At 46.9% G+C, this 16,117-nt stretch overlaps 1 long non-coding RNA gene and 2 pseudogenes across 1 annotated transcript; 1 reads left to right on the forward strand and 2 right to left on the reverse strand.

Annotated features, from left to right (window-relative positions):
• Positions 1 to 3,754: 3,754 nt before the first annotated feature.
• On the reverse strand, positions 3,755 to 13,813 carry LOC124905452 (uncharacterized). The gene is made up of 3 exons (XR_007095964.1): positions 12,160 to 13,813; positions 7,353 to 7,430; positions 3,755 to 4,698 (listed from the first exon to the last, which is right to left on the reverse strand). It is a non-coding gene; the product is annotated as an uncharacterized LOC124905452 (long non-coding RNA).
• EVA1CP5 (EVA1C pseudogene 5) lies at positions 4,605 to 12,356 on the reverse strand (annotated as a pseudogene).
• On the forward strand, positions 15,734 to 15,868 carry LSP1P2 (LSP1 pseudogene 2; annotated as a pseudogene).

The following is a 16,117-nucleotide window of genomic DNA, read 5'->3' on the forward strand; positions in this document are numbered from 1 at the left end:
TTCAGTATGAGCTTGTCTGTGGCCCTGGAGTTCCTCCCTTATGAAACAATGATGCCTCCCAACACAGGACGTCCCAGGCTGCAAGCCTGTCCCTTCTGCCCAGCTTCCTTACCCCATACCACAAAAGGTGCCCCAAAAGCCCACAGCAGGGCCTGCCAGAGGCTGATGACATATCTGTCACTGTCCCAAGGGGGCAGGGGCAGCGATGGAAATATTGGGCCACAAAAGGCATGCCTGCAGGCACATATGAGGTAAACACCCAAAGCCAGATGTCAATGAAACAGTAATTCGGTGGAATAGGAGAGGTCATAGTCTCATGCAAGACTGTCTAAATAAATAAGTCTCCTTGTGCACAATCTGCAAAGGGAAAATGTTTCATGCCGAGCCAGCTATTACACTGCCTTGCTAAGAACTTCCAACACACACTTACACACACAGATACACACGCACATATGCATGCACACACATGAATGCAAACACACTTGCACCTACACACACATGCAAGCACACATACAGATACACACGCACAAACACACATACAGATACACATACGTACAGGCACACACATGGACACACACAGATACACACATGCACACACAGATACACACATGCACACAAACACGAAGGCACACACATGCACATGCATACAGACACATGCACACACAGGCACACAAATACATACTCACATGCACACACATATACACATATGCACAGAGATACACATGCATGCACACACATGCAAACACACATGCACATGCACAGACACATACGCACACATATGCACACATACATGCACACACACATGCACAGATGCACACAGAGATACACATGTATGCACATACAGGCACACACATGCAAACATGCACACACAGATGCGCATGTACACACATGTACACACAAACACATGCACATACACATGCACACACAAAAGCACAAGTGCACACACACATGCACACATACACATACAGATGCACACACAGACACATGCACACAGATACAGACACACATGCACACACAGACGCACACACATGCACACATCCACACGCACACACACGCTCACACATATGCACACACATGCACATGCACACACGCATGCACATGCTTACAGATGCACATGCACACTTGCACACATGCACACACGTGCACACACACGCACGCACATATGCACACACATGCACGTGCACACACGTGCACACATGCACACACATATGCACACGTGCACACGTGCACACATGCACACACACCCACACATGTTCACACATGCACACATACACACACACCACTCCTTTTCCATTTCTCTAATTTCCGATTTTTTTCTATGAGCTTCCTCAGACTCATGATCTTGATTCTAGAATGAATTCAGGGAGTAAGTCTGTATTATTGAAATGACAGTAAATTCAAACATGCCTAAGAAGCTTTTTCAATGTTGGGGAAACCATCTCACAGATCATTCAAATGACCCCAGAAGACACTTCACCAGGAACACTTGTTCATCTCCCTCTCCCTTCTGCCAACCTCTGTGCTTTAATATCGGGGCCAAATCTCTCGATTTTGGTTTCTCATCTCTTTGTCCCCATGTACACTGGACTGCACTACTGTGTCAAAGCTACTTGCAGCCTGACCTGGGAAATGCACTTTTGGATTCACTCGATTTGCCACCTATTTGGGTGATTTGGGCTGGAAACTGCCCTGCTCACACTCTTGGCTCCCAGCTGCTCCTGCTTTGGGGGTGCCTAGAGACCCCAGCTCATCCCATGGGTCACATCCCCACAGTGGGGCCGGGGATGCGACTGAGAGTTGTCTGGGCACCTGTCTCCAGCAGCATTGAGGATGGAGCTCAGCACTGTGTGACGTTGGCTGGTGGCCACTGCCTGTTTAGGTTGAAATGGTCCAGCCTGATGTCCACATGCACCTCTGTGGCACACTGGCCTGCAGACCCCCGAGCATGCGCTGCATGCTTCTCACCTCTAGAGTGGCCACACAGACAGCGATACAGACACACCAGGAAAACCTACAGGCAAGCCCAGAGTCGCCCGTTCTACTAGGGCTTTGTGAGCCTCTGTGATTTAAGTCATGAGCTTCTTGTGGTGATTTCATTTAGCTAACATCCAACACAGTGCATTTAGAGACTCTTTCTCTTGGACATTATATGGAGGCATGGCCATGGTTTGCTGAGATAAATGTCCCAAAACACCCCTCAATAAAACCAAATAACAGCTCATCAACTCCTTACATTAAAAAAAACCTGACATCTTATAAATAGCAAATACTGGATGAAAATAAGGCACAGGAAAAAGCTCATAAGCCCAGATCAGCAGTCATCATTCAGTTGTTCCTTAACTACTGACTGCGCACCTGTTCTGTACCAGCACCGCATCCTAGATGCAGGGACACCACACGAAATAAGATGACAAATCACCTGCCCCTGTGGAGCTGAGCCACTAGCAGGAGAGACAGTCACTAAATGAATGTCTCTATCCTGTGGTTTCTGGGAATGACAATCACATAAAAGGATAGAAAGGGATGGAGGAAAGCTAATTTAGACAACTCAGGATCAGAATGGGGAGGTGGTTGCATCCCTCAAAATTCAGAGTAGCTGGAGTGCAAGCCTTGTATTAGCTGAGCCTGAATCCTGGCCCTGCCGTTGTCCATGGTGTCCTCAGGCAAATGGCTCAACTCCTCTGACCACCGACTTCAAGTGCAGAACAGGGGACCAGAGTCCCATCTCTCAGGGTTGTTGCTGTGGACTGAATTGTGTTCCCCCCAATTCACTCATTAGGAGCTAATTAACGTTAAAGGAGGTCATAAGGGTGGAATCCTAATCTGATAGGATTGGTGGTTTTATAAAAAGAAGAGATGTCTCTGTCTCTGTCTCTCCCCCTCTCTGCCATGTGAGGGCAAGCAAGAAGGCTGCTGTCTGCAAGGCAGGAAGACAGCCCTTACCAGAAAGGGATTGGTGGATACTTTGATCATGAACTTCTGGCCGCCAGAACAGTGAGAAAATCAATGTCTGTTATTTAGGCCATGTGGCCTCAGGTACTTTGTTATGGCAGCTGGGCTGGCTGAGGCAGTTGTTGAGAGGAACCGACAAGGTTGTTGGGGTAAAGCACACAGCATGGCCACAGCTCACTGAGCAGAATGTCAGACTCATTCCCCTTCAATTGTTATTCTCTGTCTGGAGGATTTTCATGTTGGCTTTTCTCCAAGAAGCTCCCTGGGGTCTTTGTAAATATGGGGATATTTCTGACAAGAAAAATCCTTACGGTTCTTAACATTGACAATGATCAGGAACAGCAAGACATGAAAATGATAAGATGGCTAGAAAAGAGAGGACCCACAGAAGAAACCAACAACCACACAACACAAACACACACACACAGGAGGACTCCTAATGCAGGAGGAGAATAGAACATCAGGGGACCCCGAGACTGAACTTTGCATCTCATGTATTGAGATCATTCCCTGATATGGTTTGGCTGTGTCCCCACCCAAATCTCATCTTGAAATGTAGCTCCCCTAATCCGCATGTGTCATGGGAGGGACGTAGTGGGAGGTAATTGAATCATTGGGTGGGTCTTTCCCATGCTGTTCTCATGATAGTGAATAAGTCTCAAGAGATCTGATGGTTTTATAAAGGGGATTTCCCCTGCACAAGCTCTCTTGCCTGCTACCAAGTAAGACTTGACTTTCCACCGAGACTGTGAGGCCTTCTTCACCATGTGGAACTGTGAGTCCATTAAACTTCTTTCCTTTATAAATTACCCAGCCTCAGGTATGTCTTTATTAGTAGCATGAGAACAGACAAATACATTCCCTAAGCCTCTATTTTCCTCTGAGACAGGCTTACCCCGAATAGCCCTATCTTTGCAGGCCTTGAATAGTAATACTGTTATGTGTTACATTAACATGTATTTTACTGAAAGTCTCTGGTTTTTGTCTCTCTGAACATAGGCAGGCATTGCTGAAACTTGCAGATGACATTCCAAAATGCATTCTATCTTAAGATAAGCAGAGAGTGTGGTGAGGAAAAATTGTACATACCTTCCCCTCAATGAAGAGGTCCCCGTGGTGTGGCCGGCTTTGGTATAAGCCTTTTGGCTCTGTTAATTCACGAGGGCTGAGTTTGATTGATCCTCATGGGGAAGACTAACAAGGGAAACCTTGGCAACCATTAGGAATAACACTCATGACCCAGAAACTGGTTCTGTCTTCATGGGTCATCATCTGTCTTGTTTACTAAGTGACCTTCTGGCTCATTTTTCTTCCAGCCAGGGTTGGAATTCAATAATTCTAGTTCCTTCCCAAATTTTAGAGCTGGGAAATGCATTCCTCGGGTTTCTACTTTTCAAAAGCGAACAATATCTGTGGAGCTCAACTCCTAAATAGTGTGACTTTGTCTGTTTATGTGGTTCTCTTGCTGACTGCCTGATTGCGACTGTGCCTGAACTCAGGCCTCTGTGTTTCTGAATCTTAGAAGCGGTGGTTGGCATGTCAAACTTGAAGTCATTGTCCTTTAGTCCTCTGAGTGTTATAATTGAACAGCACATTTATGAACAACACTTTAGTAAATCCATCAGCATTCTAGGAAGCTTTGATTCATTGACCTATCTCTAATGTAAGCAAAGGCTGCCAGAGAGTCGCTAACAAGAATTCCATCTTTCCTCAGAAACTTCGATTCGCTTGGGTCAAAGTTCATACCTGTTTCATGAAAAATGCAAAACCAATTAATCACAGCTGTTCATAGTAGGCTTATTCTAAGAGATCTCTGCTGTTCCTACCCCAGGGACAGCCAGAATAATTAAAAGTCACAGAAATGAAACAAAGGGGCCTCTGGCTAAATTATAGAAGATTAACCCAGGAAGAGCACTTATTAAATAGTAAGCAGTCCCCGAAAATATTAAAGTACAAAAAGGATTAGAAATTGTTTTAAGTGTTGGTTCCAACTTCAGGTGCTGGTCTTCCACTCCACTGTGGAAGGGAACAAATGGATTTTCCCATCCTAAAGACAGTGACATTAATCACACACCTTGGAGGCTTAATAACATCTCCCTTTAGTTTATTTTAATTGTTTATTTATTTATTTATTTTTGAGATGGAGTTTCACTCTTGTTGTCCAGGCTGGAGTGCAATGGCGCGATCTTGGCTCACTGCAACCTCTATCTCCTGGGTTCAAGCAATTGTCCTGCCTCAGCCTCCTGAGTAGCTGGGATTACAGGCACATGCCACCATGACCAGCACATTTTTGTATTTTTATTAGAGATGGGGCTTCCCCACGTTGGCCAGGTTGGTCTCGAACTCCTGACCTCAGGCGATCTGCCTGCCTTGGCCTCCCAAAGTGCTGGGATAACAGGCGTGAGCCACCACCCCCGGCCAATAGTATCTCACGTTAAGCATGGAGTTGCTGTCCGCTGTGTGGCCAGAGATAAAAAAAGCCTCCCTTACAGAGGGAGGTGGTATTGGGCTACTTTTTTTTGGAAACAACAGCAAAACGTGAGGCAAATCCGCTTTTAGATCCTGGTTACACTGCTGGATGGAGCTTAGCAAGCCTGTGATAGGGTAGCCTGGTGGTGGCTTGGTGGACTCCTAGCCATGTCAGACAGGACAGATGCCTTTGAGGAGAGATGGCACAGTGCTGGCTCTCAGGCCCCCACTGCAGGGGGATCGGGCTGTTTATGGATCGGGTGGGAACCCTGTTAGAAAAATAAGAGGAGGCTGGGTGTGGTGGCCTACACCTGTAATCCCAGCACCTTTGGAGGATGAAGTGCGTGGATTGCTTGAGCCCGGGAGTTCGAGACCAGCCAGGGCAACTTGGCAAAGCCCTGTCTTTAGAAAAATAATAATAATTGTTAATTAATCAGTTGATTTTTTTAAAAAAAGAAAGAGTAGTGGAGCTAAGGAACACAGAGCCTGCCAGAAAGCCAAGGTGGCCAGCTGAAAGGACACCGAAGAACATTACCATAGTCCTCTCTGAGCTTTTGGACTAGGGGTGTTTCATGTGGTTTTCATATCAAACATACTTTACTTTTATACTTAGGGGGGAAAGACCTAATACATACAATAAAGGTAACACAAGACAAAACTCTCACCAAAGTATTCTTAGATGCTCTACTGGGTCTCTGCGATTTCTATTAGGGACCCCACGGGTTTGAATTCCATTCTAGATTTGATAAGAAAATCCAAATGCTCAACCTCCTCATCCCACCCCCCACCCCTCCACCCCATTTACAAAAGCCAAGTGAAAACTAAGGAGGGGCCGGGTGCAGTGGTTCACACATGTAATCCCAGCAGTTTGGGAGGCTGAGGCGACGGGAACACCTGAGGTCAGGAGTTCGAGACCAGCCTGACTAACATGGTAAAATCCCATCTCTACTAAAAGCACAAAAATTAGCAAGGTGTGGTGGTGGACGCCTATAATCCCAGCTACTTAGGGGACTGAGGCAGGAGAATCACTTGAACCCAGAGGCAGAGGTTGCAGTGAGTGGAGATTGTGCCACTGCACTCCAGCCTGGGTGAGAAAAAGCAGAACTCCAAAGAAAAAGAAGAAAGAAAGGAAGAAAGAAAGAAAAGAAAGAAGAAAGAAAGAAAGAGAGAGAGAGAGAGGGAGGGAGGGAAAGAAAGAAAGAGAGAGAGAGAAAAAGAAAGAAAGAGAGGGAGAGAGGGAGAGAGGGAAGGAGGGAGGGAAAGAAAGAGAGACAGAAGAATAAAGAAAGAGAGACAGGGCAAGAAAGAAAGAAAGAAGGAGAAGAAGGAAGGAAGGAAGAAAACGGAGAGAGGGAGGGAGGGAGGGAGGAAGGGAGGGAGGAAGGAAACTAAGGAGGAAGGTGGCGTGTACAGAGGTACAGAGGCCCTCAGGTCCTAGCCGGCCCTGGGTGAGAAGAGTGAAACTCCGAAGCAAAAGAAAGGAAGGAAGGAAGGAAGGAAAGAAGGAAGGAAGGAAACTAAGGAGGAAGGTGGCGTGAACAGAGGTACAGAGGTCCTTAGGTGCTAGCCGGCACTGGTGCCTACGCAGCAGCTCCCAATGGGCTCAGCTTTGCAAAAAGCTCATTGTGTAACCCAGGAAGCCCAAATTTATTTCTGAGCAGATGTCTTTTCAAAGTGATTTTCCTTTTAGGAAGTGAGAGGAGAATGAAGGGGAGGTTTATCCTACTTCTGATGTTAAAAAAGTCAAAACAAAATAAATTGGTCTTCATTGCAACTATTGGCTAAAGCACTAATCATCACCAGGACCGGTACCTCAAACACACCTCCTGACAGCCCCTTCCATTCTAATCAAGGTGTGCCCAACTGTGGTCACCCAGGGGCTGTTTACCTTTACTTAAAAAGAAATGCTGGCAGTAAGCCATAAAAATTACCATATTCAGCATCTTTCTGCTTCAAAGGTTTTAGATTAACAATGGCTGGATCAATCACTTTGAGTATGTTCTTGGGAACTAAAAGCCAAAAAGAAATATTTTAAATACGTGGTATATTTTTAAAATGTGGACTCAATATATTTTTAAATGCAATGTAGATAAGATTTTAAAATCACTTTCCAAATCGGTGCAAGAGTCACTCACTCTTCCTGTTAGATACACATACTTACACACAACCCAATGCTATCCATGTGATCATCAAATCCTCCAGAGAGGTGGTTTTAGGCCCATTTTGCAATATTTAAAAAATGGAGAATAAAAACAAGATATGATATATCCATCCAGCAGAATACACCTCAGTAATAAAAAGGAGTGAAGGCTCGGCATGGTGGCTTACACCTGTAATCCCACCACTTTGGGAGGTCGAGGTGGACAGATTACTTGAGGTCAGGAGTTCGAGACCAGCCTGGCCAACATATTCGAAACCCCGTCTGTACTAAAAATACAAAGTGAGCTGGGCGTGGTGGCACACGGCTGTAATCCCAGCTACTTGGGAGGCTGAGGCAGGGAGAATTGCTTGAACCTGGGAGGCAGAGGTGGCAGTGAGCGAACATCGCACCACTGCATTCCAGTCTGGGTGACAGCGTGAGACTTCAACTCTAAAAAAAAAAAAGTGAAGTACTGATATGATACATGCTACAACATGGATGAACCTCTGAAATATTACATTCAGTTAAAGAAGTCAGCCATGCACACACACACAAAACCATCCATTGCATAATTCCATTTGTATGAAATATTCAGAAAAGGCAAATCTAGAGAGAAAGTAGATGCGTGGTTACCTGGGACCGGGGGGTTGGAAATGGGGCAGTGATGGCAAATGGGCATAAGGGAGCTTCGGGGGATTGTGAAAATGTTTTAAAACTGGAGGGTAGTGATGGTTGCACAACTCTAAATTTACTAAAAATCATTGTATTGTATTCACGTGTAATAGAATTTTAAGAAAAATAAACAACACCTCAATAGAGTGGTTAACTCTGGGCCAGGCATGGTGGCTCACGCCTGTAATCCTGGCACTTTGGGAGTCTGAGGCAGGTGGATCACTTGAGTCAGGAGTTCAAGACCAGCCTGGCCAACATGGTGAAACCCCGTCTCTACTAAAAAATACAAAAATTAGCCGGACGTGCTCACTTGAACCCAGGAAGTGGAGGTTGCAGTGAGCTGAGAGTGTGCCACTGCACTTCAGCCTGGGTGACAGAGCAAGACTCCATCTCAAAAAAAAAAAAAAAAAAAAGAAAAAAAAAATATATATATATATGGTGGTTAACTCTGAAGATGAGCTTCCCTGGACTTAGTAAAGCAAAATGACTGTGACCAACTCAAAATTCACCATCAAACTCTCCCAGCACCTGCTCTTCTGCTTTCTACCCCAAGCTCTTTGCCTCTGTGTTTCCATCGTAAATCTGGAAAGAATTCGAAGATTCTGTGCTAAAGTGATTTGCTAAATATTATCAGAAAGGACTACAGAAAGATGCAGAGAGGACGGCAGCGTGACCGACTCCTTTGAAGGTGGTTTAAGACTCTGCTGAACTGACCCTAAGAATAAGCCCTGGGATGTCAGAATCCCCAGGCAAAGCAGCTGGCAGATGACGGCACCCACTGAAACAGAGGGCAGAGCAAGAATTCTGCAGGCCAAGCACACTGCCACAGGCTGGGAGAAGGGAGTGGAAACTGAATATTCCTACTACATAAAATTGCTTATTTTTATTAGTTCCTCAGCCCAGCTGAGATCTTGGAGAAGTAGCAACAGGAAATGGAAAGAAAGTGAAAACAAACTGCAAATTCAACTGCACTGCTTTTTAAAAAAAGAACAAGTGAGACATCTTCAGCAGCAAGAAAACCTTTTTTCCTTTCTTGGAGGGCTTAACTAAATTCTTCTGGAGATGTCCCAGGATCAACAACCACAGGACATTCCTAGATTGTGAGTTTTCCATGTACAGGAGGCCCTGGTGCCTTCGTGCCCATCAGCAAGGGAGACTTCCCAGGGAGGCCCGGTGAAGTTGCTGGAGGTGGCTGATGATTTCCAGGGCCTCGAGGAATGTCCCTTGGCTGTCCTCAGGGCACACCACTGATCCTGGGACCATGGCAGCTTCGAAGAGCTGAGCTGAGCTGCTGCAAAATGCTTTCTGCTTTAATTACCTCTCATTCATTTCTGGGCCCTGAGAAGGATGCAGTAGCCTGGGAAGTGTCAGCTCTCCCTGCCAGGGGTGGTACTTCTTTCTCATGTCTGCCTCTTCGCTTGTTCTCAAACTGTGGCTTCAGGAGGGCCTTGGCTCTTGGCAAATGCCAGAGGCTTTATAGTTTGAGAAAGAATCAGAATTTTGAAGAGGAGCTCAGAGAGGAAGGTCATTCTAGGATGCACTTTGCAGAATAACCAGGCAGTGAAAAGGTGAAATTGGCTGTGTATGACACAGGCCACCGCAGGGAATGTGCCCCTCTACTATGTGAAATTGGCTCTGATATCCAGAGAATCTTTTAGGACCTTTAAAATCACCATTGTCAACACACTTGTCAGATTTTTGCATCTCCTTGTTTCAAACTGTTTTAGAATGAGGTCAGGGACAGGGGTGTGATTGATCACCTTCCTGCTCCACTTCAGATATGTTGGTGAAAACATTAGGAAGCACTCTTCATGGAGCTCCTACTGTGTGCAGGACACTGTTCTCAACAGTTTAAACCAGGGCCATCTTCCTCCTCATCAACACCTTTCCTCTCCCACTCAGCAGATTCACTGTCTCAGCCCCTAGTGTGCAGCTAGTGTGCATGCCCTAGTGTTCACCCTACAGGATGCTTCTCTTTGGAAGACTTAAAACACCACCCCCAAGCTAAAATAGGCCCCCTCCACTGCTATAGTCTTCTTCCCTTTTCTAAAATAGCATTTGTCACAATAGGGCATGCTGATGTGTCTGGCTATTTGGTTAATGCTTGCCTTTCTCCCTCAACTGTTCACCCCATGAAAACAGGACCGTGTCTTTTTTTTTTTTTTTTTTTTGAGACAGAGTTTCACCCTTCTCACCCAAGCTGAGTGCAGTGGTGAGATCTCAGCTCACTGCAACTCCGCCTACCAGGTTCAAGTGATTCTCCTTGTCACAGCCTCCCGAGTAGCTGGGATTACAGGCATGCCCCACCATGCCCAGATAATTTTGTATTTTCAGTAGAGACGGGGTTTCACCATGTTAGCCAGGATGGTCTCGATCTCCTGACCTCATGATCTGCCTGCCTCGGCCTCCCAAAGTGCTGGGATTACAGGCGTGAGCCACAACGCCCAGCATTAGTTTAGTTTTTTAGAGACAGGGTTTCACTCTGTTACCCAGGCTGGAGTGCAGTGGTGCAATCATAGCTCACTGCAGCCTTGAACTCTTGGGCTCAAACCTAGGCTCAAGGGATCCTCTCACCTCAGCTTCTCAAGTACCTGGGAATATATGAATGCACACCATGCCCAGCTTACATTTATTTGTTTAAAAGACAAGAAAGAGGCTACGCACAGTGGCTCACACCTGTAATCCCAGCATTTTGGGAGGGAGGCTGAGGCAGGAGGATCGCTTGGGCCCAGAAGTTGGAGACCAGCCTGGGAAACATAGCAAGGCCTCATCTCTAATTAAAAAAAAAAAAAAGCAAGAAAGATGATATGATACCAAATCAAATCATTTCCTTTACTAGGAAAAGGGCAAAAACAAGGCACGGTGTCAGTTAAGAATCCCTCTTTAGAGAAGCATGAAAAGTCTGCCCCAAATCTGGTAAATCCAGGAACAACTGACTATCAAGCTGATGGTGCATTCTAGGTTAGGATGATTTGGACCAGGTTGTACTTTGTTCCCAAAGAATTCAAGGAAAAGTTTGTTTGTTTAATCTGCTTAACATAGTAAAATCTTCCTTTGCAATGTCATACAAAGTTGGCATTACATGTGCACTGTTGAAGAAAACATAGTTAATTGTTTTTTTTAAAGAATGTACTCCAAAACCATTTAATTAGTAAAAATGTTTAATAATGATTTCTTTTTTGTTTTTTTTTTTTTTTTTTTTTTGGAGACGGAGTCTCGCTCTGTTGCCCAGGCTGGAGTGCAGTGGCGTGATCTCTGCTCACTGCAAGCTCCACCTCCCGGGTTCATGCCATTCTCCTGCCTCAGCCTCTGGAGTAGCTGGGACTACAGGAGCCCACCACCACACCTGGCCAATTTTTTGTATTTTTAGTAGAGACAGGGTTTCACCGTGTGAGCCAGGATGGTCTCAATCTCCTGACTTCGTGATCCACCTGCCTTGGCCTCCCAAAGTGCTGGGACTACAGGCATGAGCCACCGTGCCTGGCCCTTTGAGTACATTTTCTAAGAAGTTAGTCATGAGTTCAGATGTCTGCCTCAAAGAGATACTTGTGGTTTCCATTAAAGAACCCACCTTCCCTTTCTACGGGAGTATTTATGGGAGATATGGGCCTGGAGGTTGGAATCCATCCTGGTTGTACTTTGCTATACTGAAGTAAGGAGTAAACCTACAAATAAATTCATATTGAAGTGTACAAAGGGGGCTCTACAATAGGTAGGAATTCTATTTAGTTTTGTTGGGTAACAAATCCTTTGAGAAGCAAATAATAGCTCACCTACAAAACTGGTGATCTGTATAAGTTGGGATTTTTCATGGATCAGTTTTGCTTGGATTGAACTATATAATCACAAATATATTTATACCCAGAGAGACAGAAAGAGTGTCTGTTGAAACTGTATCTTCTTAACCTGTCTATAAAAGGCAATACCTGGAAGGTGGTGGATGCCACACAGGTTAAGCTATCTTCCTTCTGGGAGGCAGGCTTCTGGGAACTACACATTTGGTAATCTTGCCCATAAAATGCCAATTGGACACTTATCGTAGAATGCCGAGGGCACTGTAGATTCAGATAGTCCCCATCACAGTCATAGGTGGTGTGGTTTTGCAGGAGTTTGGTTAGGTAACCTGGAAAATATTCAGTCGGGTTACAAGAGGCCCAGGAACCCACAACTCCTCCTTGGGTTTGGGGACAGGAGGACATTGGTTCCCCTGGGGAAGGGCTATTGAGTTAACAACATGTGGGGTAGGGCCTCCCTAGCAGCTCTGGTGCAGAGGTCACAAAACCAGGCCCAGAGGTGGGGCACAGGAGCCAATGTCAGCTTTCATGTTGATATGGAAGGGTGGCAGGGGAGTGCTGGGTAGAGAAGGGTGGAGTCCCTGGCTAGGGCTCCACCCTTGGGCTTGTGCCTTTGGACCTTAGTGAGAACTGGCACTCCTGTTTTCATGACCAAATGTTGCATTTTCCAAGACTACTCTGGCCTGCTATGACCCCCATCCTGTGCCCATAAAAAACCCAAGACCCTAGTGGGCACAGACACAAGTGGCTGGACATTGAGAGGAGGAGAGAAGCAGAAGAGCACACCGACAGACATCAGCAGATGCTGGCAGGCTTTTGACAGTGGGGAGATGTGGAATTCAGTTGGGGGCTGTCGGAGGAGAGTCTGGCTGCTAGGCAGCCCGACTCTAGGGGAAGACCACCTTCCCATTGCATCCGCCTTCTGGCTCCCCATCCATCTGAGAGCCACCTCCTCCACTCAATAAAATCTTGCATTCATTCTCCAAGTCCACATGCGATCTGATTTTTCAAGTACACTAGGGCAAGAACCCGGGATACAGAAAGCCCTCTGTCTTTGTGATAAGGCAGAGGGCCTAATTGAGCTGATTAACACAAGCCACCTGCAGATGACAAAACTGAAGGAGACCTCTGTAACACATGCCCACTGGGGCTTCGGGAGCTGTAAACACCCCGAACTGAATTCCACACGCTGCTGTGGGGCCAGAGCCCAGAAACGCTCCCCACGACATGCCCGTCTGCATGCTCCCTCTAGGGGTTTGAGCAGCAGGGTACTGAGAAGCGAGCCATGCCCCTGTAGCTTGCCCTGCAAGGGGGATAAGGTTACTCCTCCTGTTTCAATGTCTGGGTCAGAAAACTTGGTCTGGGATGGCCCACTGAATGGTTTGGAGGGCTATTTCCCCTTCAGGAAGCACTAAGGTATCGGCCAGGAGCCAAGAAGTCCTGAAGCACCTTTATAAACCAGGAAAAAAAATTGGGGGAGTATCCCCTGGACGTGTGGATGCCCATCCTGAGGGAGGCTTTCATTTGCTCATCTCCCACTAGTGAGGCCATGCCTTATTGGGATGAGAGGATGCAGTTTCATTTCAAGAAATCACTCTTGGCTCTGTCTTGGTTCTGAAGAGGAAAGACAGGCAGGGTGACCTGTGCAGAGAGGTGATGGTGGGGCTCTGCTGTGGGTTGAATGGTGTCCCCTCAAATTCACGTTCATCAGTGTGGGGAAAAGCAAGAGAGATCAGATTGTTACTGTGTCTGTGTAGAAAGTAGACATAAGAGACTCCATTTTGTTCTGTACTAAGAAAAATTCTTCTGCCTTGAGATGCCGTTAATCTGTAACCCTACCCCCAACCCTGTGCTCCCTGAGACATGTGCTGTGTCAACTCAGGGTTAAATGGATTAAGGGCTGTGCAGGGTGTGCTTTGTTAAACAAACGCTTGAAGGCAGCATGCTTGTTAAGAGTCATCACCACTCCCTAATCTCAAGTACCCAGAGACACAAAACACTGCGGAAGTCCACAGGGACCTCTGCCTGGAAAAGCCAGGTATTGTCCAAGGTTTCTGCCCATGTGATAGCCTGAGATATGGCCTCCTGGGAAGGGAAAGACCTGACTGTCCCCCAGCCTGACACCCATAAAAGGTCTGTGCTGAGGAGGATTAGTGAAAGAGGAAGGCCTCTTTGCAGTTGAGATAAGAGGAAGGCATTTGTCTCCTGCTTGTCCCTGGGCAATGGAACGTCTTGGTGTCAAGTCCGATTGTATATTCCATCTACTGAGATAAGGGAAAACCACCTTAGGGCTGGAGGTGGGACATGCTGGCAGCAATACTGCTCTTTAATGGATTAAGATGTTTATGTGAATGCACATCAAAAGCACAGCACTTAATTCTTTACTTTGTTTAAGATGCAGAGAGCTTTGTTCACGTGTTTTCCTACTAACCTTCTCTTGGCTATTACCCTATTGTCCTGCCAAATCCCCCTCTCCGGAAACGCCTGATAATTATCAATAAATACTAAGGGAACTCAGAGGCCGGTGCCTGCATGGGTCCTCAGTATGCTGAACGCCCGTCCCCTGGGCCCTATTTTCTTTCTCTATACTTTGTGTCTCTTTCTTTTCCAGGTCTCTCATTCCACCTAACGAGAAACGCCCACAGGTGTGGAGGGGCAACCCACCCCTTCAATCAGGAACCTCAGAATGTGACATTTGGAAATTGGGTGGTTGCAGATGTAACGAATTAACTTGGCGACATACTGGAGTAAGGTGGGCCCTTCACACCATATGACTGGTATCCTTATAAGAAGAAAAGAAGAGACTCAAAGGGAAGACAGCTGTGTGCAGCTGGAATGATGCATCTGAAGCCAAGGAATGCCGCGTATTGCCGGCCACCACCCAAAACTGGAAAAAGTCAGGAAGGATTCTTCCCTAGAACCTTCAAAGGCAGCACAGCCCTGCCAACACCTGCATTCAGACTCTGGCCTCCAGAACTGTGAGAGGATGAATTTCTGTTGTTTTCAGCCACCCAAGCTTAGGAAATGGGTTGCAGCAGACTGGGAATAAGACAGGCAGCCAGTCAGCCTCCGTGGAATTCCCAGGCAGCTTGCAGGAGCCACAGCGGGCCCTGGGCTCTGAGAAGGTCTGAGGCCCAGCAGGCGCAGGGGCCTAAACTATTTATCGGCAAGGAGGAAGGAAGGTTCATCCAGAACGTGGATCCCCTTCCTCCTTCTCACACCTCACAAGGTCACAGCGAGGTGGCTGGGAGGAGAGCCAGGGACTTTTCACTGAGGTGTGTGGGAGACAGCTTGGCAGCCCTTGGACTCTGAAGGGAGGAGGTGGTGGGAAGGAGGGCAGCTTCGGAACTTCCCAGTTCCTGCTTGATGACCTGTGTGTAAAGTATTCCTGTTTAGGTCTCAAAATCCTCTCAGAAACATAATTCTCAGAAAATCCAGGCACCCAATCCAGCTCCCTGGCCTTCCCTGAAATCTGAAGTCAAAGGGGCTGAGCCAGCCTGCCCTGGGTGTCAGGCCTCTGAGCCCAAGCTAAGCCATCATATCCCCTGTGACCTGCACGTACACATCCAGATGGCAGGTTCCTGCCTTAACTGATGACATTCCACCACAAAAGAAGTGAAAATGAAAAGGCACACAGCGCTGGCACAGGCGCTGGGAGGCGCACAGGAGACCTCAGGCCCAGGCTCCACTCCCCAGCTGTGAAAGGACCGCTGGCTGGACCCCCAAGCTAGCCCACCAGGCCTCCATAGAGCTGCTCAGCATGGCCGTGGCCAGTACCAAGAGACGGTGGGAGACGGGTGAGGTACAGGCTCAGTCTGCGGCCAAGACTCTGTCCTGCAAGATGAAGGTAATGAAACAGAAGTGCAGCCACAACAAAACAGCCAGTTAATGTGGAAACAAGGTCGACAACTACTCAGACAGCGTCATGATATGTTAACAGAAGGTAGTTCAGTTTCTCCAGATTACCACAGAAGACAGCTCTGTGGATCCTCCTCAGATGAGATGATTTAATGTGGTATTGGGGAAATGAGAAGCCATCTGAGCACAAGCGCTCCCTGAGGGTGGGCCACCACTCTGGCTCGTCTTCCAT

The sequence above is a fragment of the Homo sapiens genome, chromosome 3 (assembly GCF_000001405.40).
Source record: "Homo sapiens chromosome 3, GRCh38.p14 Primary Assembly".
Classification (NCBI taxonomy): domain Eukaryota; kingdom Metazoa; phylum Chordata; class Mammalia; order Primates; family Hominidae; genus Homo; species Homo sapiens.